This window comes from Homo sapiens, chromosome 18, assembly GCF_000001405.40.
Source record: "Homo sapiens chromosome 18, GRCh38.p14 Primary Assembly".
NCBI classification, from domain to species: Eukaryota; Metazoa; Chordata; class Mammalia; order Primates; family Hominidae; genus Homo; species Homo sapiens.
In genome coordinates this window covers 29,626,110-29,653,167 of record NC_000018.10, presented here as the reverse complement: position 1 = coordinate 29,653,167, position 27,058 = coordinate 29,626,110, and the positions used below count along the sequence as shown (strand labels likewise).

General features: G+C 34.9%; 1 long non-coding RNA gene across 2 annotated transcripts; it reads right to left on the bottom strand.

Moving 5' to 3' along the window:
• Positions 1-1,726: 1,726 nt before the first annotated feature.
• On the bottom strand, positions 1,727-23,326 carry LOC105372045 (uncharacterized). Of its 2 annotated transcripts, none has more exons than XR_935330.2 (3): positions 23,204-23,314; positions 5,776-5,943; positions 1,727-2,673 (listed from the first exon to the last, which is right to left on the bottom strand). It is a non-coding gene; the product is annotated as an uncharacterized LOC105372045 (long non-coding RNA). The 2 variants fall into 2 exon arrangements; XR_935329.4 differs by lacking the exon at positions 1,727-2,673 and adding an exon at positions 2,728-3,773 and having other exon boundaries at positions 23,204-23,326.
• Positions 23,327-27,058: the final 3,732 nt, after the last annotated feature.

The window sequence follows — 27,058 nt, the reverse complement described above, 5'->3', positions numbered from 1 at the left end:
TAGGAATCTACCCGACACTCTATTGTATTGCAGCTGAGCTGGCTCCCAAGCCACAAGGCAAAGTCCTCCCCACTGTTCCTTCCCCTTTTCACAGGCAGAGGAGTCTCTCTCCATGGCCACCACAACAGGCTCACGGGGAGTACTGCCAGATTACAGTTGACATTCACTAAAAGCCCAAGGGCTCTTCAGTCAGCTTGTGGTGAATGCTGTCAGGCTTGTGACTCACCTTTCAGGGCAGTGGGCTCTTCTCTGGCCCAGGGCAGTTCCATAAATGCCATCCAAGGGCCCAAGACCTGGTATTGGTGACCCTAAGAGCCTGCATGGTACTTTATTCCACTGTGGCTGAGCTAGGACCTAAACTACAAGGCAAAGTCCTCTTTATTCTTCCCTCTCCTCTCCTGAAGTGGAAGAAAAGTATCTCCTTTAGAGCTGTTAAGTGTGCTGCCTGGAGTTGGGGGAGAGGTGGTGTAAGCACTCCCTTGGCTGCCCTGGTTGGTGTCTCACTAGATAACCTGCCCCCAAAGTTCACTTGCTCTGAGCCCAGCACAGCACTATGTTATGCCTAAACGTTATAGTTCCTGTGGGCTAGACTTTCAAGTTTATTTAGAACCACACAGCTCTTTAGCACACAGTGGCTAAGCTTGCTGAAACTCTCTGAGATGGACAGTTCTGCTCTGGCTAGGATGGTCTTAATGTTCTTTCCACGGGAGTCAGCTGAGTTTTGCCTGGTGTTTCTTTTTGCTGTGACAGGGCAGCACTGAGTTTCAATGCAAAGCCCCACATTCACTGCATTCTCCCTCCCCCAAATGCACAGATTCTCCATGCCACACTGTTGCTGCTGGGGGATGGCACAGGGGTGTTGTCAGCAATTCAAGACTGTTTTTTTTCTATCCTCTTCAGTGCCTCTTTCAGTGTTATGCAATTAAAACAAGGTACTGTGACCATGCACCTGATTTTTGGTTCTCGTGAAGGTGCTTTTTTTGTGTAGATGATTGTTAAATTTGGTGTCCCTGCAGGGAGGACAAACCATGGAGGCTTTTATTCAGTCATCTTGCTCCACCTACTTTTAAAAAATTCTAAGGAGTTAAAATGGAGTAAATTAAGAGAAGGAGAAAGAGGAGCATTTCAAAGTGATATTAGTTTATACAAGAACTTGGGTTGTGAGTAGGTATTGGACAATGCTATATATTAAGAAATGAAAAATATCTATGTGATGTCTGACATGGAAGATGAGAAGATATGTAATGTAAGATCGCATTCAACAGACAGGTATGGCTAAGGGACTACAAAATATAGATTAGAATTGTGGCTTTATAATTGAAAAGTATTATAGAAGGTGAACATTTTTGCATGCTATTTATTTTTCCTATTTAAGATATACTATGTTGTAAGAAAAACTTATTTAACAAAGATCAGAATGTATGTGGGTAGTTAGAATTATACTGACTTAGTCAATTATGGTAGGGTGGGCTACCTTGGCATTAAATCAGAGACTGTGAAAGGTACAAGGTGCAATCTAACAAGTTAGCTTGCACATTTCACATACATGCGCGCGCACACACACACACACACACACACACACATATTTTAACAGAAGAAATGATTCTTCCTGAATCAGACAGACAGGAATTTTATTACTCAGAGCAAAATGCAGTAGTCAGAGCAATACCTTAGTTTTGATTTCCTAAACCACCATACTAATTGGGTAATGTGGTGAGGGCCAGATATTTCCCTGAATATGCAGTGGGTATTGCCACAGGAGAGGAACTCTGAAGTCAGCAGACCCAGTTTATATAAGGCAACTAGCACTTCTGCCCATCCTCCTCTCCAGAGAAAGAGAAATGCTTATTCAGCAAATCTCCTCTAGGGAAGAGAAAACTGTCAGTACCCTTATTACCCTGGAATGTAAGCAAATATTTCCAAGGAGAGAAAAGTAGGGCTCTATGGCTTATCATATTCTCAGGTGTCTATCTTTAGGGAGACACTATTTATAACTTTTAAAGCTTTCTGTTATGCAATAATTCTTGTAATACCCTTTTTCCCAGAAGATTTGCAAAATGGCTAAAATTATAAAAAATTATCTCCCAACTTTATGTCCCAAAGATATTTGTATAAGTGGAAGGTGACTTAAGTAACCTTGAACAATCATAAAATAGATCTCTGAGAAAGAAGAACAAAGTACAGATGAATTATGTCATGTAAAAGTGTAAATCAGATCATGAGTATAGCTTCAGATAACTGTTAGTTGCCTGAGAAAGGAGGGGTTGTTTCTGTTATCTATTGCTGCATAACAAACTACCCAAAACTTAGGGCTTAAATCAACCCATGATTTTGCTTGGCATTTCATAGAAAGGCTCATCTACATGGTTTCTGACTGACCTACCAGGCATCTACTGACGTAGCTAAGGATGAAGTCTCTACTTCCAAGATAGCTCTGTCTTTCATATTTTTGATTCTTTAAGACTCTCTGGCCTCTCTTTTTGCCTGGTGTCTCATTCTCCAGGTCTCTCCGTGTCACTTTGTTTTTTTATGGTGTGGTCGTCTCAATGTAGATTTCCAGCATGAAGGGTATTTCTCTCAAAATAAGCATTCCGTTGAGAGTTTCTCAATGGGAAGATTATACAGAATGCGTGATCCTCTTCTATTTACTGCATTGTTTATAAAATAATACTTCTGTGAAGAAGAGTGTATTAATTTTTCATTGCTGCCATAACAAGTAATCATACATTTAACAGTGTAACACAGAAATATTTATTATATTACTGTGGTATAAGTCAAACTTCCAGGGAGGCTTAATCAGTAATATACTTATGGTCTTACAAGGCCAATATCAAGGTGTCAGTTGGACTGAGCTCTTATTTGGACGATTTAGGGGAGAATTTACTGCCATTTTTATTCAGCTTTTCAAAATAATTTACTTCCTTCTCATGTCTTGCATGTGTCCCTAGGCCAGCAAAGGCATTTAAAATCTCCATAGCATTCTCTCATGCTAAATCTCTCTGACTTGCTCCTCTACCCTCGACTGGGTGAAAGCTCTGCTTTTCTCTGCTATCAGGGGTTTATGATATGACCTGGAACCCTCCCCTCATGCAGGTAATCTAGGAAATCTCCCTATTTTAAGATCAATTTATTAGTAACTGTACTGCTTTAAATAATGCCTTTTCAATATTAATGTCCGCCCAGAACCACAGAATGTAATCTTATTTGGAAATAAGTCCTGTTATGGACAGGATTTTTTTTCCCCACAAAATGCATGCATTGAAGCCTTAATGCCTAATGTAATGGTATTTTGGGGCAGGGTCCTTGGGATGTAACTGGGCTGAGATGCAGCCACGAGGGTGAGCCCTCCTTTTAAGAGGAGGAAGAGATCAGAGCTCTGTCTCTTGCCTTGGGAGGATAAAACAAGAAAGCAGCTAGGAAATGAGCCCAAACCAATAATCAAATCTGTAGGCACCGTGATCTTGGACTTCCAGCCTCCAGACTATGAGAAATAAATGTTTTTTGTTAAAGTCACCCAGTCTATGGTATTTTGTTATAGCAACCAGAGCAGAGAGAAACACAACCTTTGCAGACATAATTAGTAAAGTTAAGATGAGGTTACATGGAATTAGGGCATACCCTAAAGTCAATATAACTGTTGTTTTTAGGAGAAGGGTAGAGGACACACAGACACAGACAGACACAGAATGGAGAAGGCCATGTGACAACCAAGGCAGAGATGAAGAGTTGCAGTTGCAAGCCAAAGAAAACGAAGGATTGCCAGCAACCAGAATCTAGGAAAAAAAAAAGAAAAGTGGATTTTTCCTAGAACCTTCAAAGGCCCTATGATCCTACCAAAACATTGACTTCAAACAGCTAGTCTCCAGGACTGGGAGAATACATTTCTATCGTTTTAAGCCACAAAATTTATGATAATTTTTTATGGCAACTAGGTTTGTAGTCATTTGTTATAGGAAGCTAGGAAAAGAACATAGTAACCTTAATTACATCTGAAAAGTCCTTTTTGGCATGTAACATAACATATTCATTAACATGATACCAGTGTGCAAAGTTCATGGGGCCAAAATCCTCACTACTGAACTCTACTCCCTGACCCCCATGATCCACATCTCTCTCAAATAAAAGATATATTTATCCCTTCCTGTATTAGTTTATTTTCACACTGCTATGAGGAAATACCTGAGACTGGGTAATTTATAAAGGAAAGAGGTTTAATTGACTCAGAGTTTCACATGGCTGGGAGGGCCTCAAGAAACTTACAATCATGGTGGAAGGCAAAGGGGAAGCAGGGCACCTTCTTCACAAGGTAGCAGCAGAGAGAAGTGAAAGCAGGGGAAATGCCAGATGCTTATAAAACCATCAGATCTCGTGAGAACTCCCTCACCATTATGAGAACAGCATGGGGGAAACTGCTCCCATGATCCAATCCAATCACTACCCACCAGGTCCCTCCCACTACACGTGGGGATTATGGGAACTAAAAATTCAAGATGAGATTTGGGTGGGGACACAGCCAAACCATATTACTTTCCAAGGTCCCAAAAAGCCACATTATAGCATTAGCTCAAAGTTCAAAATCTTAGGTTGGTGCAAAAGTAATTGTAGTTAGCCATTTCTCACCATCTGTAGGCCTTTGAACCTAGGGAAACAGATTATCTGCTCACAAGACTCCTAACATATAATGGTGAGACAGAAAAAACATAACAATGGTAGATACTCTGGTTCAAAAGGAGGAGAAATGCAAGGAAAAAGGGGTCACTGATCCAAAACTATTTTGAAATGTAGCCATACAAACTTCACTAAGTATCTAGGCAAGAAAATGGACCTCCTTGGCTTTCGTTCCACCCACATGGCTCTAAGTTCAGTCTTCTGAGTTCTCAACTCAACCCTGAGTCATGCTCCCTTTTTCATGAACATAGGCACATGTTTGCAGCTTGCTAGTTATATCAGACTGCTTCTTGTCAGTCGAAATTTGGTGGCCCAGAAATCTTCACTTAATATTTGGCTTGTCCTTTAAAGTCTAAGCTAGCAATCTTTCTGCTGATATAAAAATATCAAGAAACTTGTGAGTTTTGCATAGACTCAACAAGGGATAACTGTATTAGAAAAAGACTCCTCCACAGACCTTTCTTAGATAATCCCTTCTTTACTCTTGACTTCTGATGAAAAGAGTGATATACCCTTAAAATACCTAGAGAGCCTCTGGTTTCATTGAGAGGATCTGTGGGTCACTACACTTAATGTTTTCAAAGAGCATTTTGCGTGAAGAGTACTCTGACCTATATTGATGTTTCTGCTGGTTAAAAAAATATTGCATTGCCACATACTCAGGTTTTTCTCTATGTCACACTTTCTGAAGCAGTCTCTTAATTTTAGTCTTTTTTGCCATATGGATAGACTGAAAATTTCTCAAATTATCAAGTTCTGCTTCCTTTTTGTTTAACAGTTTTCCCTCCATTAGTCTCTATTCTTTCCCACTTTACTATGAATAACATTTTCATAATTTTGAAAATCTTCTGAGCTAAATATCTATGTCCATTTCTTATAAATGTTGTTTTTGAAAGCACTATAGGGCACAATTTTTTTTCGAAGCATTCTGAAACCATATAACAAAGATTCCTTTTGTGACAATTTTCAATAATAAATATCTGACTTCCATCAGAGCCCTCACTAGCAAGAACTTCACCATCCATTTTTCTTCTTGCATTCTGTTCAAGGCAATCTAAACTTCTACTGATAGGCTTTTCCAAATTCTCCCTGCCTACTCCCACTTACCTGTTACAATGCCACTTCCATATTTTTCGGTATTTGTTATAGCAGCACCTTATCTTGATGTAGCTGTACTTCTCACAAGTAGGCTCAACTCCTGCAGAATGTACCATGACACTGAGCATTCCTCCATGGAAAGATTCACAAAGAATTTGTGGTATCTTTAATCTACCACTGTGTTTATAAAGGAAAATAATTTTGTGAGAAAGAGCGATTAGGCCTAAGAAAGCCAACTAATTTCAACTAATTTAAATAAAAATGTAACGGTTTTATCGAATCTAAATTAAGGTTGACATTTTAAAATACTCATTTACTAAAGCACACTGAATGGTACCTTTATTTGTAATTTGTTGTGAAATCATCCATTACTAATTGCAGTTAATATGAATTAAAATGTTTTTTAAAAGAAAGACTATGACTTAAGATTGGTGTAACTAATTCAGATTACATTCTCCTCAGTTATTTAAAATTAGTGAATGTCAGATTATACTCATATAGGTTTCCTCTTATTTGCCTTGTTGAAATTTAGTATATAATCCCACAATAATTTCTAAAAATCTTGTGATTTATTTAAACTTTATATTTTAAATGAGAAAACTAGAAAACAGAAATAATCTCTTAAAAGTCTCACAAAGATACACAAAGAAAGTAGTTTAATTATAATCAAAGGAAAGCATGAAAAGGTATGATATTACTTAACTTCTTCTCCTTTCAGTGAGAAGAAACTAAAGATTAGTTTTTGGTTCAAATGAAAGTTCAGTGCCATTTAATTTTCTAGTAAAAATATAAGTCCAGAAAATGAGGTCTGAAATCAAACATTTATGAAAGTTCAGTAGTAACCTAATTCAAAACTCAGGAGATAAAATCCTTGATATTCTCTACTGATTATTCTTGAGAAAGTTACTTTTATTCCTGAGGATTTAATAAATTTGAAGCAGTGTTTCTCAAAGTGGTGTCTGCTAAAAATCAGGTGTATCTTATATATGTAGATTTCTGATTTTTGAGTTTAAAAACAGAATTAAGTGGATATATACATTTGAGAAACATTAAAGTGTTAGTTAAATAGGCTTTCTCTTTCTTGTTAAATTACAATGTAATATAAGACGACAGAGTGACTTTTAATAATTTTTTTAATGATCTTTTTAAAAAGTTGGTAATGGAAATAAAGGAAGGAGAGAAAAGAAGTAATTTTTTAGAGATCTCATGAAGATGCCCAAGGAAAGGATAAATGTTCCGATGGAAATAAAGAAAAAGTAAAATATCAATGTACCATATATATTCCACATAAATGCACATATTACTTTATATAACAAATCATTCTATACTATATACCATATTTATATTAATTCTAATTCTACTAAAGTATAGTAATATAAATTTAGTAAATATAAATTTACACATAAATATAAAATATATATTAGTTATATGATTTATATCATATGAATATACATATACATAAGTTTTATTAATGTATGATTTATTTATATCTTATAAATATGTAAATATAGCATTCTACATAAAAATGGTACGTTGAATTACACTATGGTATAATTGGTATATAGTGTATTTATAAAGTTCTTTGTCTTGGTATATATGTTCCTGTGTTAACATAAATGTATCTTAACTATACTTTTTAATACTGGTTAAAATGACTTTGGCATGTAAGTGGAACTTACTCTGTTTATTAACATTGTTATATTGCAAACCCTGCACAGCTATTCTAAACTACTTAAAGTTTCATCTTCCTGTATCCCATTACTACAACCCTAGCTAGACTCTAAGACATTTCAACCTGTGTCAGAAATTGTGGATTGAAATGTAAAGCATATGTTTTTCTTAAAATCATTGTCACTTGTTCAACAAATATTAACAATCTACTATGAACCAAGACTATGCTACTTACTAAGATTAAGTGAATAAAAAATAAATACATAATTCTTACTCTCTTGGAAAGAAATTTTAATAAAGGATCCAGGTGATAAATAACTATGTATACAAGCAAATATGAAACAAAAATTGTGGTAAGTACTAACAAGGTGCTATTTTGGCATATAAGAGAGAACTAGATCAAGACAAATATCATTTGAAAGCTTTTAAGAAAGAGTTATGTTAGGTAAACTGTAAATATTTTACGATGAAATAATTAACAAAGAGAAAGAATATTGTAATATGAGGAAAGAGTTTCTGGGGAAGACTCAACCCAGAAGGTAACATATTCATTACTGAAATGAAACAAGGACAATTTGATCCAAAAGAAAGAAAACAAAAGGTAAAATAATGTAACATGAGTGTCAATAAATTTAACGATATCTAAATACTTTAGGCTCTTCATGTCCAAACTACAAGTTTTGAATTTAGATGAAGAACAAGGAGTAACTATTGAAGATTCTTTAGACAAGATATGATGGAAGCATGATCTAGGGACAGATAGTGGAGATGAATGAAGATTTAAGGTTTATTTAGAAATCAAGTATTTAAAACATAATAACTTTTCAAATATAAAGGTTTGGGTAGTGAGAGGAGTTAAGAATAACAGATTTCTGGCTTATGCAGTTGAATGAATGATGACACCATGCATCGTAACATCAAACATTAGAATTTGTGGGATTTACTTGTATTTTTTTCTTTGTGTTTACAAGTCCCACAAATTATAATTCCCACAAATTACAATTCCCACAATTACAATTACAGAGCATAGATAGATAGATGGATAGATGGATAGATAGATAGACATTTGACTTGTTTGAAGAAGGGTGATGCATTCATGTTTTAACACTGTTCAAAATACTTGTGAAGTATCCACATAAAAATGTCAATTAGGCACTTGGTTAGAATGTCTGGAACTCAAATTATATTGTGAACTGTTTTCTGGGTTTATAGTCTTGGGACAATGTCTCCTAAGTGGCATTTAAAATTGTGAATCATGGTGACATCACCATGAGATGATTCATATGAAGGAGTACTAGATATGGAAGTGGATAGGACCAAAGAGTGGAACATGAGAAAATGCTGCATTTAACAAAAGCTATATCTGTGTGTGTGTATTATAAATACTCCAAGTAATAAAATTTTTTTTATTTTTATATGGTACTTTAATACCAGATTTATAAAACTAAATTTACCATTTTTTCTATTTTTTAATCATCCTCTCTTTCTTCAATGCTTTATGTCTTTTTCATATGTGCTGTTATTATGGAATATTAAAGAATAATGTAACTTTGATGGTATTATTCTATAAGTAAATATTGTAAGACAGCAGCAGATACCCGAATTTGGAAATAATGATGAAAAACAACACTGAACAAAAAAAGAGGAGAGGGAATTAAAAGAATAAACATTGAAACGAGGTAGCTTTCATCGGTTGCAGAGTTAATTTCCAGTAATCCCATGACACTGGAGCAATCATAACATTTTATGTATTTATGCTGGAAAGTAGAATAAACAGGCAGCAAATTACAGCTAGCTGGTAGCTTCATGAAAGGCAGAAAAAGAAAAGTTCATAGCCCTTTGTAGAGAAATACAGCTTATTCCAAGGTCTGAAAGGTAAATTAAGATAATTGAACAGACGTAGACTTCAAAATGTATTAACAGTGGGTTTTCCAAGAATCAAGCTTTGCATAAAGCATCTAGAAAGTTTAGGAGGCAGATCACAAAGGGAATTCACCTCACAGTATTGCATGATCACACAAGACAAAATAATAACTATATAATTGTGTATCACATATATGTATACACATGCATATGTATATACATATGCATACATTATATATGTGTGTATATATACATAAATAGGTAGACATGTATGTATCTAATGTGCTGATAATTTTGCAAAATAAGATAGCCTAGAATTTCTCATATTCCACATTGGTCATGTACTATATGATACAATATATGATACATTAATATTTTCTTTTAAGTCTACTTCTCAGTATTAGTTTATGACAAAAGTACTGGGAAATTACCAGGAGCAAGCATAGGAGATTATGCCTAAACTATGAGGGAATGATTTATGAATGAATTACCTGGGGAAAATGTATTGCCTATTACAGTGTTATGGTGCTATAGCAAGTTGTTTATTATAAAGGAATAATTAAAATACACATGCTTTACAGTGTTAAAGTAATTAAAACTATTAACAGAGACTTCTAATTTCATTTCCCACATGTAAACAGCTTGGAAGTGGGAAGTGGTCACTTCTATCCTTACAATAAGAAAAAAAAATGAATAATCAGAAATATCTACAACTTTTCTTAGAGCTATCAGGAAACTCAAGTGACAAGGAAGGCCACCACTCAAAATTAGAAGGGACAGGTGTTCAGAGAGATAACACTAAGACATGCTTATATGGAGCAAAAGCTGCTGAAGCCATGAACTGGTATAATTGCTTAATTGGCATTTTGATAAGTTGGCAGGGGCTGAGTATGGACTAGCATAGAGTCAAAAACTCCTGGGAGCCCAGTCTTAAGGAGGCCCCACACTTCTGTGAGATTTACCTCCAGGATCCCCCCCAGGTACTCATGTAACAAAGGCCCATGCTCCAAGAGAAAGGATTTTGTCAAAATCTTATCCCAGTGAGTGGAATGTAATTTTTTCTCACATTGGGCCCCTTCAGCCTTGATGCCCCACCTGGGAAGAAAAAGAGTAGTCAACAGGGATCAGAACTTCAAGCACATATATTGGGAATGACATACCCTAGGAAGCAAGTGAGAGGCTGTACCACAGGAGGAACACTTCTAAAGGTTAAAGGTTCTAATGAAAAAAGTTGACATGTAAGAACAGATGGGTAGCATAAGCAGAGAGACTGAAACTCTAAGAAAGAAACAAAACGAAATACCGTAAATGAAAAACATCAAAACAAAAATGAGGCATGTCTTTGACGGACCCATCAGTAGACTGGACACAATGGACAAAGCCCACCACTCGCCCCCTCACCTAAAAAAGAAAAGGAAAGCTGTGAACTTGAAGATTAGTCAGTGACAACTTCCAAACCTGAAGTACAGTGAGGAAAAAGGAATGCCCAGAATATCCAACACCTAAAGGGCAATTAAAAAGGTATAAGCAAAATTAAAAAGGTATAAGGTATGCCTGATAGAGAAGAAGGGAAATTATATATATATATTTATTTATATATATATATAAGTTAAATTATATATATATTTGAAGTTACAGTTGCAGATAATTTTCCAAATATAATGACAGAAACCAAACCACAGATTAGGGAAATTTAAACACTACTAAAGCAGGATAAATAACAGAATACTAGCCATGTCTTGGCAAAATATGCACCTACATATATGATATTGAAATGCAGAAAATCAAAGACAAAGAGAAAGTCTTGAAAGAAACTGGGGATGGGTAGGGCAATTGAGAAAAGATGACAGCAATTTTACCTATTGAGAAACAGGAATAAGAATAGACTTTTTCACAAAGCATGCAAACAAGAAGAGTGGAGCCAATTATTTAGTGTTCAAAGAACAAAAAGAGCATCCTAGAATTCTCTATCTAGAAAAATTACACTATTTTATTTTATTTTTTATTTAAGATGGAGTCTTGCTCTGCTGCCCAGGCTGGAGTGTACAAACTTGGCTCACTACAACCTCCGCCTTTCAGGCTCAAGCGATTCTCCCACCTCAGTTTCCTGAGCATCTGGGACCACAGGTGCCTGCCACCATGCCTGACTAATTTTTGTATTTTTAGTAGAGACTGGGTTTCACCATGTTGGCCAGGCTGGTCTTGAACTCCTGACCTCAAGTGATCCACCTGCCTCGGCCTCTCAAAGTGCTGGGATTACAGGTGTGAGACACCGTGCACAGCCTCAGAAAATTACACTTCAAAAGTGAAGGAGAAATAAAGACTTTCTCAGACAAACAGAGAGTGAGCACATTCATCGCCCACAAACCTGCCCTGCATGAAATATTAAAAGAAGGCGGAAGGGAAAAGATGAAGCCCAGAAACATGGATCTACCATAAAGAAACAGTGTCGTAGAAGGAGCCAATAAAGGCAAGATTAAATAATCTATTTGTCTTACTCATTACTGATCTAAAAGAAAACTGTTTGTTTACAGCAAAATAGTAGCATTGTATTGGACCATTATATCGTGCCGATAAGTAAAAGGATATGACAGCAATATAGCAAAAGGGAAAAATTAGGAATACTCTTTGGTCAGAAACCTGCACTAAACATGAAGCAGTACAGTGTTAATTGGAAGTGGACTAAGATTAGTAAAAGCGAATATTTTAAACAACAGGACAATCATTTAAGAAGGATTAAAAGGTGATATGCTACAAGAAGAAATTAAATTGAATAACATAAATTGCTCAGTCAAAAGACAGGTTCACAAAAAGAAAAAAATTAAAAAATGGAAAAAATATAAAAAAGTTACAAAAATGATAGATATGAATACAAATATAACATTACTCACTTTAAATGTAAATTATTTTAACAAACTAATTAAAAGACAGAGATTTTGAGAGTGGCAGAAACAAAAAAGACCAAACTATGCATTTGTTAGAAACCAACTTTAAATGTAAAGACTCAGATTAAAATAAAGTAATGGAGAGACCATCCTGGCTAACACGGTGAAACCCCATCTCTACTAAAAATACAAAAAATTAGCCGGGCGTGGTGGCCTGGGCTTGTAGTCCCAGCTACTCTGGAGGCTGAGGCAGGAGAATGGCATGAACCCGGCAGGCGGAGCTTGCAGCGAGCGGAGATCATCGCACCACTGCACTCCAGCCTGGGCAACAGAGCAAGACTCTGTCTCAAAAAATAAATAAATAAATAAATAAATAAATAAATAAATAAATAAATAAAATTAAATAAATAAAGTAATGGAGAAAGCTGCATCATGATAACACTAATTTTTGTAAAAAGCAAAAGTAGTGCATTATTTCATTGGAAACTTCAACTTCCTTCTATCAGTAATCAACAGGTCATGAACGCAGAAATCCGTAAGGATATAAATGACATAAATAAAATTATTAATTCACTTGATCAAATTGAAAAATATTTCATCCAACAACAGAAGAATACACATTTTTCTGCAGCTCACATGAAGCACCACTAAGCCATGAAACACTAATCAACAATTAAAAAAACAGATATCATACAGTTTGTGTACTCAGAACACAAGTGAATTAAATTAGAACTCACTACCAGAAATATAAACTAAAACACCATCAAATATTTGCAAATTAAACAACATATTTATAAATAATATGTATATTAAAGAATAAGTCTGTCAAGAGTTTTAAATTATATATTAAACTAAATGAAAATGGAAATACAACTTATCACAATTTGTGGGATGCAGCCAAAGAAATGTTTAAAGAGAATATTACGGCAATAAATGTGTGTATTAGAAAAGAAGAATTTCTGAAAGTTAATAAATTAGTTCTTTGGAAACTAGAGAAAGATGAGCAAATTAAGCTTCAAGAATGGAAAAGATAAAAATAGAAGAGAAATCAGGAAAACAAAAGAAAATAAATGAAAAATAAATGAATCAAAATTGATCCTTGAAGAGAGCAACAAAATTGATATATTACTAGCCAGGTTAACCAAAAATGTGTATGTGAGAGACAGAGACAGAGAAGGCAAGTGCAGATGACTGATCAATATTACAAATGCAAGGAAGAAGAATCATTACTATTGATAACATGGCCATTGAAAGTATAAGAAAATAGTAAAAACAATTTTATGCCCACAAATTTGAAAACTTAGAAAAACATCCCAAATTTTCACCTAGCAAAGCTCACACAAGGAGAAGCTGATTACCTGAGTAGCCTATTTCTGTTGAAGAAATTACATTACAAATCCTCTAAACGAACAAAAAAAAAAAAAAAAAAAAAAAAAAAAACAACTACTAGGCCCAGAGGTATGCATTGACAAATTCTACCAAACATTTAAAGAAAAATACCAGTTCTCCAGAATCTCTTCCAGAAAAGAAAAGCAGAGGTAACATTTTTATCTCAGTCTATAAGGTCAGTATTACCCCAATACTTAAACAGATAAAAGCATTGAAAAAATAGAAAACTACAAAATGACATCTCTCATGAACATAGATGCAGGAATCCTAAAAAAATAGTAAATTAATCCAGAAATGTATGAAAATAATTAAGCATTAAAATCAGTTGGGAATTATTTCAACAATGCAAAGCTAGTTTAAAATTTAAAACTCAATCTGTATAATCTTCCATATCAGAAAGCTAATAGTAAAAAATCATACTATCATATCAGCAAATGCAGAAAATACATTAAACATAATCCAAAAATCCAAGACCCACAAATGATAAAAACTCTCAGAAAACTAGGAGCTTCCTCAACATGATTTAAAAATAAACCTACAAAAAAACCTTATTCTAAAATCATAATTGTAGGATGAGATTGGGCATTTTCCTTCTATGATCAGCAACCAGGCAAGGGTACTGTCTCTTATCATTCCTACTCAATATTATAAAACCCCAGATAGTGCAATAATGCCATAGAAAAATAAAATTTGTAATTATTACAGTGAAAGAAATAAAACTACCTTTATTCAGAGACGATATGATTATAGAAAACTCCAGAGAATATAGCCAAACAAACAAAACTTCCCATAATTAATAAACAAGTATTCCAGTCATAGGATACAAGATCAATATGAAAAATTCAATTGCTTTCCTATATGTCAGAAATGAGCAATTGGCATTTTATATTTTTAAAAAACTACCACTTACAATAGTACCAAAAGCAACAAAATGGTATAAATCTGATTAAATATGTACAGAGCAGGTATATGGAAAACTATAAAAAGTAGAAGAAATGTAAAAAGCTAAAAATTAGTGGAGAATATTGCATGTTCATGAATTTAAGATTCATTATTGTTAATATGTGAACTTTTCCCATCTTCATCTATAGATTGAAGGCAATCGCATTTAAAATACTATCAAGAAGCTGGGTGCAGTGGCTCTCACCTAAGTTTACAGCGAGCTATGACCACACCACTGCACTCCAGTTGGGTGACAGAAGAGGACATTGTCTCTAAAAAAGAAAAAATAAATCAAAATATTTTGAAGATATTTCCTCAGGCCTGGAAAACTTTTGTACCAAAAGATAGTCTTCACAATTTGTGTTGGGCTTATTGCATTGTGTGGAAATAACTTTTACTGTTCCAACCCATGTTTGTCTTTCTTCTGCTTAAACATGTGTGTCATATGGCACCTGGCCAAATCCACTGCTATATTTATCCCCTGCATGAGGGGATGGGGTCTTTCTGCTGCATCACAAGGGGTGTGTGTACAGACCAATTATTGTGCATCAGCTTCCAGGAAGAATCTGATGGCCAGGGGAGACCAAGGACCACTACTAAAGCTGATCTTGCTCTGTTTCTTCTCTATGTGAGTAAAGCTTGTTCCATCCAGAGATTATCTGTGTTGTGTCTTTCTTGGTAATTCCATTATTAAGATGATAAATAAATCTCCAGAAAACCACCCTAATGAAATGGAGACATATGATTTACTTGACAGAGAATTAAGAATTACCATTATAAAGTACTCAACAGTGTCAGGAGCACAATGTATAAAATAAGCGAAAATTTCAGCAAAGAGAAAATATGAAATTGTACCAAAGAGAAATTAAGAATCTTAAAAATACAATAATTAAACAGAAAAATTCACTAGAAGGGTTCAACAGAAGATTATATAAAGCAGAAAAAGAATTAGTGAACTTTAAGACAGGAAACTGGAAATTATTCAGTCAGAGGAGCTAAAAGAAAAATAACAAAAAAGAGTAAAGGAAGATTAAGAGGCTTATGTGACAGTATAAGATGGATTACTATATGCATTATGGGTATCCCAGAAGAAGAAGCGAAAAAGAAGCAAGAAAAACTTATTCAAAGAAATATTGGCTGAACAATTTCTAATCTTGGAAAGGAAATGGACATCTGATCCATGAATCCCAAGAGTACACAAATACGATGATCACAAAGAAATCCACACTGAGACACAATCAAATTTTCAAAGTCAAAGACAAAAAGAGTATTTTGAAAGCATAAAGACTAAAGTGACTTGTCATGCAGACAGTCACACCATATAAGTCTATCTATTTTATAAAGTGAATTTCTCAGCAGAAATATTGCAGATCAGAAGGAAGGTGAATGGGCCAGGCATGGTGGCTCAAGTCTGTAATCCCAGCACTTCAGGCAGCCAAGGTAGGCAGATTGCTCGAGCTCAGTAGTTTGAGACAACCCCGGGCAACATGAAGAAACCCTGTTTCAACAAAAAATACAACATTAACTGAGTGTGGTGGCACAAGCCTGTAGTCCTAGCTACTCAGGAGGCTGAGTGGGAGGACTGTTAACCCAGGAGATTGAGGCTGCAGTAAGCCAAGATCATGCCACTGCACTCCAGCCTGGACCACAGAGTGAGACCCTTATCTCAAAAAGACAAAAAAAAAAAAAAAAGAAAAAGAAAGTAGAATGATAAATGATATAGTCAAAGTACTGAAAGGAAAACAAAAACTGACAACCAAGCATGCTACACCCGACAAGGCTATCCTTCAGAAATGAAGAAGAGTTAAGGACTTTCCCAGACAAATACAAGGGGTAGTTTATCACTACTAGATCTGCCTTACCAGAAATGCTAAAGGAAGTTCTTCAAGTTGAAATAAAAATATCCTGAACAGCAATATGAAAGCACATGAAAATATAAAAATCACTGGTGAAGGTAAAATATAGACAAGTATAGAATATTGTAATCCTGTAAATGTTGGGTAAATTATGTTTAATTATAGCATAAACATTTTAAAAAGTATTAAAAATAACTAAAACTGTAAAATTATAATGTAACAATATACAAATATGTAAGTTATGACATCAATAAAAGTGTGTGTGGAGAGGGAGAAGTAAAAGAATAGTTTTAGTATGCCATTGAAATTAAGCTGGTGCAATTCAAGTTAAGTTGTTATCAACTTAAAATAGACTCTTATAACTACAAGTTGTTTTATGTAAGTCCCATGGTAACTAGAATGCAAATGACTACAGAAGATACAAAATGAGAAAAAGGAAGTAATCAAAGCACATCAATACAAACAAAAAAAAATCAATGAAAAGCAAAGGAAGACAGCAAAAGAGAAAAACAAAAGACACGAAAGACACTTAAAAGGATCATAAGATACTACTACGGATAATTATAAGCCAAAAAATTGAATAACTTAGAAGCAAGGGGCAAATTCCTAGACACAGATGTAGAAGAAGAAAAGGAGTGATTCATTTCTTCTCCATCATAAGGGTCAGAGTTGACTATAACAAAAGACAGGTTAATAAGAGAAAAGCATAACAAATTTATTTGATCATAGTTTTATGTGACACAGGAGCCTTCAGAAGGAAGACCCAAAGATACAGGGGAAAGTATCTGATTTTATGGTTAGGTTCAATAAAGTAGGGACAGACATGTAGACTGTGACTATATAAAAAAAGCTATGATCTAACAGTAATACAATTCACCTTCCACAAAACACTAGTTTGGTTTGCATGGGTCCACTTATATGAAGATTTTGTCAATAAAAGTTACACAGAGTGTGTCTGCCTCTTATGCCTCTCATTTCACCTCCTTCACTTCTGTCTCTGCCACCCTGAGTAGCAAGATCAGCCCCTCCCTTTTCTCCATCTTCTCAACCTACCCAGTATGAAAATGATGAAACTGAATACCTTTATGATGATCCACTTCCACTTAATTTACAGTAAGTATATTTTCTCTTCCTTATGGTTTACTTAATAATATTTTCTTTTCTCTAGCTTACTTTATGGTAAGAATACAGTACATAAAACATATAAAAAATATGTGTTAATCAACAATTTATGTTATTGGTAAGGCTTCTTGTCAACAGTAGGCTAATAGTTAAATTTGGGGGCACTCAATAGCTATATGCAAATATTTGCATGGTGGGTCAGCAACCCTGACCCACACATTGTTCAAGGCTAAACTGCAAAAGGAGCAGGGAAAAAGAGCAGGGAAAAGGAGCAGGGAAAAACAGCCTGTCTGTTCAGATTCTTCTTAGCCTCTCTGTTGTAGCATTTCTTTGTTATGGATACGGGATAGGACACTTCTGGAATAAGGGCCTTAATTTCTTTATAGTCAGCTGTTACAAGGAAAAGCGGAAGAAGGTTTGAGTAATAATTTTAGGCTTATGGTTTGCTTTGGGGAAAAGGAGTTATTATTTCTACATCCTGCCTTGGAGAAGAGGAATTCTAGTTTCTATGACTTGCCTCAGGGAAGAATGAGGGTTAGGAGGCTAGAGAGCAGGATAAGGTCGAGAGAGACTTTATTTTTAAGGATGCTTCTTAGGCTTTCACTTTGGGGTATTGTTTTTAATTCCCAACACATTCAACCTACCAAGACTGAATCATTAAGAAACAGAAAATTAGAACAAACCTATAATTCTTAAGAACATTGTAACAGTAATGAAAATCCTCCCAAGAAAGGAAAGCTCAGGACCAGATGAATCCATTGGTAAATTCTTGTAAACATTTAAAGAAGGAATAATACCAGTATTTCTCAATCACCTCCAAAAGGTTAAAGAGAAGTGAACACTCCCAAACTCCTTTGATGAAGCCAGAATTACCCTGATATCAAAGCCAGATAAAAACACTACAAGAAAAGGAAACTACTGGCCAATACCTTTGATAAATATAGATGCAACATTTCTCAACAAAATACCAGCAAACCAAGTTCAACAAAACAACAAAAGGATTATAAAGTGTGACCAAGTAGAATTTATCCTTGAGATACAAAGATGGTCTCTTACTTAGTTTGGACTGCTATAACAGAATATCGTAGGCTGGGTTACTTCAAATATGTAGTTCATAACAGATGGTTCAACAGGAAAATCAACTAAAATCAATTATACCACATTAACAGTATGAAAGATCAAAACCACATGATAATCTCAATAGGTGCAGAAAAAGCATTTGACAAAGTTCAACAACTTTTATTATTTAAAAACTCTTAACAAATTAGAAATAGAAAGAAATTTTCTTAACATAATGAAGGCCATATATGAAAATCCCACACAGCTAATATCATGTACAAGGGTGAAAGACTTAAAGTTTTTCCTCTAAGATTAGGAACAAGGCAAGTATGTCCACTATTGCTACTTCTATCTACTAGCCAGAGCAGTTAGGCAAGATAAAGACATAAAGGGCATCCAAATAAAAAAGAGGTAATATTATCTCTGTTTGCAGGTGACATGACTTTATATGTAGAAATTCTAAAGATTCTACCAAAATAGTATCAGAACTAATAAATGAAAACAGCAAAGTTGCAGGACACAAAATTAACATTAAAAAATCAGATGTGGTTCTGTGTACTAACAACGAGCTATTCAAAAAGATAGTTAAGAAGACAGTGTCATTTACAGTAGCCTCAAAAATAATAAATTTCTCAGGAATAAAATTAACTAGGAAAGTGAAAAACTTATATACTGAAAACTGTAAAACATTGATGAAAGGAACATAGAAAGATGTAAACAAATGGAAAGAAAAGTACATGGATTAGAATACTTAATGTTGTTTAAATGTCCATACTACCCAAAGCAATCTACAGACTCGATGCAATCTCAATCAAAATCCCAATAAAATTAATCCATAAATTTATATGGAACCACAAAGAGCCTTTAATAGAATAGTCAAAATAATCTTGAGAAAGAACAACAAACATGGAGGCATCACACTGTGTTTTCAAAATGTACTGCAAAGGTGAAGTATTTAAAATATACGTCCAAGCATAAAGACAGACAGATAGACTGATGGAACAGAATACAAAGCCCAGAGTAAACTCACCCATATATAGTCAACTGATACATAAGGGTGCCAAAAATACATAATGAAGAAAAGTTAGTTTTTTGCATAAACGGTGTTCGGACACGTGGATATCCACATTGGAATGAATGAAATTGGACCCTTATTTTACACCATAAACAAACGTTAACTGAAAATGAAGAAATGTCTTAAACCTGTGACCTAAAACTATAAAACTTCTACAAGTAAACAGGGGAGTCAAGGACAGTGGCTCATGCCTGTGATCCCAGCACACTGGGAGGCAGAGGTGGGAGGATCACTTGAGCCCAAGAGTTTGAGAAAAGCCTGGGCAACATAGGGAAACCTTGTCTCTATTGAAAGAAAAAAAAACAGCTGGGTGTGTTGGTGTACGCCTGTGGTCCTAACTATTCGGAAGATTGAGGTGGAAGGATCGCTTGAACCCAGAGAGGTCGTGGCTGTGGTGAGCTGTGATCACACGACTGTACTCCAAGCTGGGTGACAGAGCAAGACTCTCTTTCAAAAAATAAGAAAAGAAAACAGGGGGAAACCTTCACGACATTGATCTTGACAATGATTTCCTGTATATGACAGTAAAAGCACAGGCAACAAAACCAAAAATATATAGGGACAGATGGAACTACATCAAACTAAAAAAATTCTGCACAGCAAAAGAAAAAAATCAACAGAATAAAAAGGCAATCTTTGGAGTGGAAGAACATATTTTCAAAAGATATGTCTGATAAGTTTTAATATTACAAAATATATAAGGGATTCTTTCAACTCAAAAGCAAAAACAACTTAAAAATGAGCAAATAACTTGAATAGACATTTATCCAAAGAACACATACAAATGGCCAACAGGAATATGAAAAAATCCTCAACATCACTCATCGTCATGGAAATATAAATCAAAATTACAATGATATATTATCTCATACCTGTTAGGATGGCTGTTGAAAACAAAGCGAGACAAACTATAACAAATATTGGTAGAGAAACTGAAAACTTTGTACACTGTTGATGGGAATTTAAAATGGTATAGCTGCTATGGAAAGTGATGGGGAGTTTTCTCAATAAATTACAAATAGAAATACCATATGATCCAGCAATTCTCCTTCTGGGTATTAATATGAAAGGATTGAAATCAGGATTTCAAAAAGATATTTACATTTCCACGTTCAGTGCAGTGAACTAGTCACTTGACTATTCACAATAGCCAAGATATGGAAACTACTTTAATGTCCCTGGATTAATCAACAGATAAAAAATGAAATATAATCTACTTTTAAGAAAGAAGGAAATCCTGCTGCATGTGACAACATAGAAAATATTATGCCAACAGAAATATGCTAGTCACAGGACAAATGCTACTGAATTCCATTTATATAAAACAAATATTCAATCACACAGAAGCAAAAAATAGAATGGTTGTCACCAGGGGCTGGGGGACTTGGAATAGGGATTTGCTATTAAATGAGTAAAAAGCTTCAGTTATGCAAGATAATTAAATTCTAGAGGACTACCATATAACATTGTACCTAAAGTTATCAATATCATATTGTACACAAAAATGTGTTAAGGAGTTAGATATCATATTAAGTGTTCTTACAACACCAATAACCATAAATACAGGATTATATACAATAAAAAGATGATCGAGGAAAAGATAAGAGTTACAAAGTTTGTTAAGATGTTAATAATAGGAAACGTGAAGAAAGATATTTTCTGGGTAAACTAAAGTGGAAAAGACAGTAGGCATGTTGGTAACAAACTCACTTCTCTATCTATGAATCATTTAGGACCAGAATTAGGATCAAGTTTGTAGTAATGGAAAAGAATACACATGGGAAATTATTGATGTTAAGATTTTCAGAAGTAATATATAATTCAAAATTGAAGATAACCCCAAGGTTCTCAGCCTAGAGTGGTAGGAGAAAGGTGGATGCAACTTTCATGTTTAAAAACTATAATCCTGTAATAATCATCATATATGAATAAAGAGAGATGCAATTTAATTTCAGATTATTTTCACATCAATGATTACTGGATAGTTTCCAGATTAGTTTGTTTCATTTTCTAATAATGAAAATCCAAACAGTTTGACAAATAAAAAATGACTCTTGATTTTCTACTTATTGATCTTATTTAATTGGTCACACTATATACATGCTTTAAGTCTAAAAAAGGTGAAAAGCGTGTAGAAGTCCTACAATCAAAAAATAACTCGTACTTTATACAGTGAAAACAATAATTATTTTCTCACTGTCAAAAATAGAAAGAGCATTTTGAAATTATATCTATGTCAAAAATAATAATACATACACTAAAGCAGTTAGGCGAGGGCAATTTCACCAAGTTTTATGAGGGCTTTTGACATTTAGGACTGTGACGGATGCTCAATATAACACCTATCATAGGTGTTCAGGGAGTAAACAGTATGAAGATTTGTTAATTAATGTTCTTTTGTGTGCCAGGCAAATATTTATCATTAGAAGACATTTTATAGTTTATTTTACTCAAGTATGAAAGTTCTAAATCATTGGTACTTTTGGAAAGTACACACTTGAGAATACTCAGTATTAACCATGAGCATATAGGGAAGCATAGCTTAACTCCATTTATATTCCAAAAAATGCCAGAGGCCAGCATTACTGCCAGTCTCCTTTTGGGAGGATCTTTTCACCTTTAAAATTCACTCACTCTTCCCTATTGCTGCTAAGGCCTATGAAAATTTCCGATGTCCTTGAGGAGGAAAAAAAAAGATAGATTGAAAAAATCTATAGGCATGTGGCTATTCTACAGTGGATTAGGAAAGGAGAATAATCTTACTTCTAAACTGCAAGAGGTATATTGGGGGAAAAACAGAGACAAAAATTCTTGCGATTAAAACAAGCAAATGACGACCAGGACTTGGAAATGACTTTGGGGGTTTAAATCAGTAAAGCTCTGTATCTGTACATTGTCAGTATTTTTTTGTGTGTTTTTTGTTTGTTTGTTTTTTGTTTTTTTTTGTTTTTTTTGAGACGGAGTCTTGCTCTGTCACCCAGGCTGGAGTGCAGTGGCATGATCTTGGCTCACTGCAACCTCTGCCTCCCAGGTTCAGTCAATTCTCCTGCCTCAGCCTCCTGAGTAGCTGGGACTACAGGTGTGAGCCACCAAGCCCAGCTAATTTTTGTATTTTTAGTAGAGACAGGGTTTCACCATGTTCATCAGGCTGGTCTTGAACTCCTGACCTCATGATACGCCCACCTTGGTCTCCCAAAGTGCTGGGATTACAGGCATGAGCCACCGTGCCTGGCCCTCATTGTCAGTCTTTAACTTCTTTATTCTCCTGTCTCAAACAGAAACCCCTGCCAACTTTGGAGTAACCAAGTTCCAACACCAGTGACCAGCAATACAGAGAAAAAAAAAAGGAAAAATATATTTTCCACATTACAATGTTGAACTTGTTAATGTAATTTTGAGAAACTTTATAGTTAACCTCTCTACGAATTAATATTATTAGTGGTTAAGAAAATGGAGTCAGATATACTGAATCCTAACAAGGGCGCTTCAGCAGTTTTTAACTGTAATAGTGAAGAAATTGTTCAATCTTTTTAAGATCCAGTTTTCTCCTTTTGGAACTCAGATAATAACAGCACCTTCTTTGTAGAAGGGAGGAGGCAGGACTTAACTCCGGAGTTTGGCTTTGGACACCAGCCCAAATTGAGGACTAGCAGAGGAGGCAGAAGCAGCTTTCCATAAGATACACCCACCAGTGTGCCATGTCAGTTGACCATTGCCATGGCAACAACTGGGCGTTACCACCCCTTTCCGTGACAATGACCTGAGGATCCAAAAGTTAACTCTCCTAGAAATTTCTGCATAAACTGCCCCTTAATCTGCATGTAATTAAAGTAGATATAAATATAACTGCAAAAGTGCCCTGAGCTGCCACTCTTACCTATGGGGTAGCCCTGCTCTGCAGGAGCAGTCATGGAGCTGTAACACCACGGGAGTTGTAACGCTGCTGCTTCAATAAAGTTGTTTTCTGCTACCTCTGGCTTGCCCTTGAATTATTTCCTGGGGAGAGGCAAGAACCCTCCTAGGCTAAGTCCTACTTTAGGGTTCACTTGCCCTGCTTCAGAATCACTGGGAGGATCAAAGGAAGTAACCGATATTTATCACAGAGATTATCATGTACTAAATATTTAAATCTGTTAGTTGCTAACATTATTAACTTCACATGTCTCATACTGCTTGGAATTGCTTGGACATATAAAACCATTTAAAATGCAGTTGATTAGAATGTGACAATTCATATGCTGTCATATTGTTTTCGTTCTCATATTGTAATAGTGTTTTTAGAGTTCTGAGAAAGAAGAGGTACAAATACATATTGATGTATCAGGCTGGTGTAATATATATTGTAGAACATTTTCAAAGCGATCTCATGTTTAGTATATCACAGCATCCTCATAATAGTTGCTAGGTCAGGTACGTTATCATACCTCCATTCGACTACATAGGTAGCAGGGAGGCACCTAAAATACAGACTACAGCAATCACACATGATCATTCAGCTTTTTATTGGCACAGTATCCCCGGATCATCTTCTAGTGCTGAACTAATAACCAGACTGATTAATTATCATTTTCATAATTGTATAACCCATTCTGAGATCAGTGAGCAATTTCTGAGAGAAATTGTGTTTTTCCTTGTGTTCAATAGATTTAAAATGGAGACGGCAATTTTGATAGTGTTTCAGGTCAGTTAGGCAGCCATGTTATGTGACTGCATTAAGGCAGAGGCTGCCTGTACTGGTAATGGCTGCACAATACTGTTCACGACTTGTTGCCTCCTGTTCACTGATGTAGGAAACCTTACCAGCCAGGCCCATTGAATCGTATTTTCAGATACAGCTGGTAAAATCATAGACTGCCACACATTATATTGTCTTATTATCTGGTCAAGTAGCATGTTATAGTCCAGCCTGTGCTTTGCAGGGTGGAGGGCAAAGGTGCACAGACCAGCCTGTGCATGTGTGGTAAAACAAATGCTGAGGTCATTGCCTATAATTAAGGGTCCTGCCTCTGTTAATGGGCCCTGGAATTAATTTGTAAGCTTTCTGTTGTTGTTAATAGGTCTTTATTTGGGAAAAATTCAGTTGAGATACTAATATATTTGTTTTGAAACAAACATCCTTAACTACATGAATTGTGTGACAAAACTTTCCTCCTCTATGAAATATAAATGTTAGCCATGCAAATCATGTATGAAGATAAAGCTTAAATTTGTAATTTAAAAATATAAACGTAACTTGGGGTTTTTACCAGTTTTTAGCTAATGAGAGTAGACAAGTCATTTTAATTTTGTGAATCTCAATTTCTTCTGTAAAATAAATATGTGGAAGAATAACATGTGGACATATTTCATAAATGGAAAATAACTATTTCCATTTAATGTTAGTAAAGAATGAGTTAAATACCTTAATGTAAAGAAATATTATTCATTTTCAAGGCAAGATCTATTTTTTCAGTGATTTTGTTTATTTTCTATAATGTTACCGTGTTAAAAGGAGGTTTAACTTGCTCAGAATCGTTGTAATGGGCAAATGATATTTAATAAAGATGTTATCTGTGAGTGAATTTATATTTCTTCTATTTTCTTTATTACTTTTAAGTGATATTTCTTATTCTCTTAACTCTTCATGGAACCATTTTCATATGCAAAATTTACTTGGCTGTCTTATTTTTTAGGATATTTCCATGTCTTATTTATTATCTATATGTTTTTAAAAATATGCTATTCTAGATTGCTCTGTAGAACTTGGTGGAATTGCAGAGTCATTTACTAGAAGCAGCTTTTCACAATTGGCTAACTGAGGCAAAGAGAGGCTACGTGGCTTGCACAAGGTCACTCAGCTACAAGTGAACCTGCTCAATTCACTGACTAGTTTAGTGATCCATGTGCTTTTCATGAGCTCATTGCTTCAGATAATGACACATAGTTACAAAATGGTGTCGAATATATGATAGATTGATCTTGCCTTTAAGGCACTTTCACATTCTTTTTCATTTGAAGTCCTGGACTTCCAGAATCTCAACAGAAATGTGTCAAAATATTCATTTGGGGGAGAAGGATCAGTAAGTTTTCTGACATCAAGCAGAGAGAATTTCTTTGGTAGTTCTTAGCTTTCACGTTGCCTTTGTCTTCTACACTTAACAAAATCTCCCCTATGACTAGATACCTAAAGAACGAAAGAAAAATCTATGACCAAATCACAAATCACATCACTTAATTTTGACATTTCATAACAAGTTAAGGAATAGTCATTTAGTCACAGTCCCTATAATGTGTTTTTACCATATGCTGGAAATTATTTATATTCAGCAGGAATTCTGTGAAGCAATGTGCCTAAATTGGGAAAGTAAATACATATTTCTACATTTCTATTTTTATAACAGTTTCTCTTCTCAGAACCCTTATTGCAATATTCAGGTGCTGCATTCACTTTCTGTATTCTGAAATTGTTTTTATGGTACAACCTCCTTATTAGACTAAAATATAATCGAGAGAGAAATGCGCCTTCTTCAGTTTTATTTCCCCATCACTGAATAAAATGTTTTCAATATAATCAGTACATTAAAAAGACTTTTTGAGTTAAACTGCTGATGGGTTAAATGGTCCCATCTGAGCAGAGGACACTGACGTTTCTATATGCAATCCCATACCTGAACCCACACCAATTATCTGATAAATGATGTCTACTGAATATCATATTGTATTGCCAGTTTCAACATGTTTATCATTTCCCATTTCCCACAATATTTACTTTTCAATCCTGAATATACACTTTGAGCAGTCAATTATATTACCTTAGACACTATGGTTTAAAATAAGATTAAATTCTCTGCATTGCACTCCATTATACTCAGACACATTTTTCATTCATTCTTTTCATTCATTCAATCATTAGTTTGTGCATTCTTCAACCACTAAATATTTGAGTGCCTTCTATATGCTAAAGGAAGTAGCATATGCAATGGTCATGTTACATGGTTATGTATGGTACATTAAAGAAGCTGAAAAAGAACAAGGACGACCAGACTCAGAACAGGAACATGGTTGTGAAATGAACTTTGAGAACTTGGACAAGGCCCTAGCCCTCCAGGGAATTATAGGGTACATTAAATATTGATAATACTTTCTGTAGGATGTGTTAATGACTTTCTTCTCTATTTTAGAGCAAGAATGTGAGTATGTTGGATTTAATTTGTAAAGATCTGTCTGGCTCCCTGTTCAGAAAATATTGGTCAAAGAATTTGTTGCACAATACATGCACAGAACAAACTTAGGAGATTACTACTTGTCATCAAATGATGGCAATGGAGTAGGGTGGTGGTAGTAGTGAGTCCCTGAAGTACTGACTAATTACAGAGAGGGTTAGAATAAAAGAATACACCAAAAAGTATTTGATTACTTCTTTTCTGTTAGATATTTGGGTTGTTTTCAGA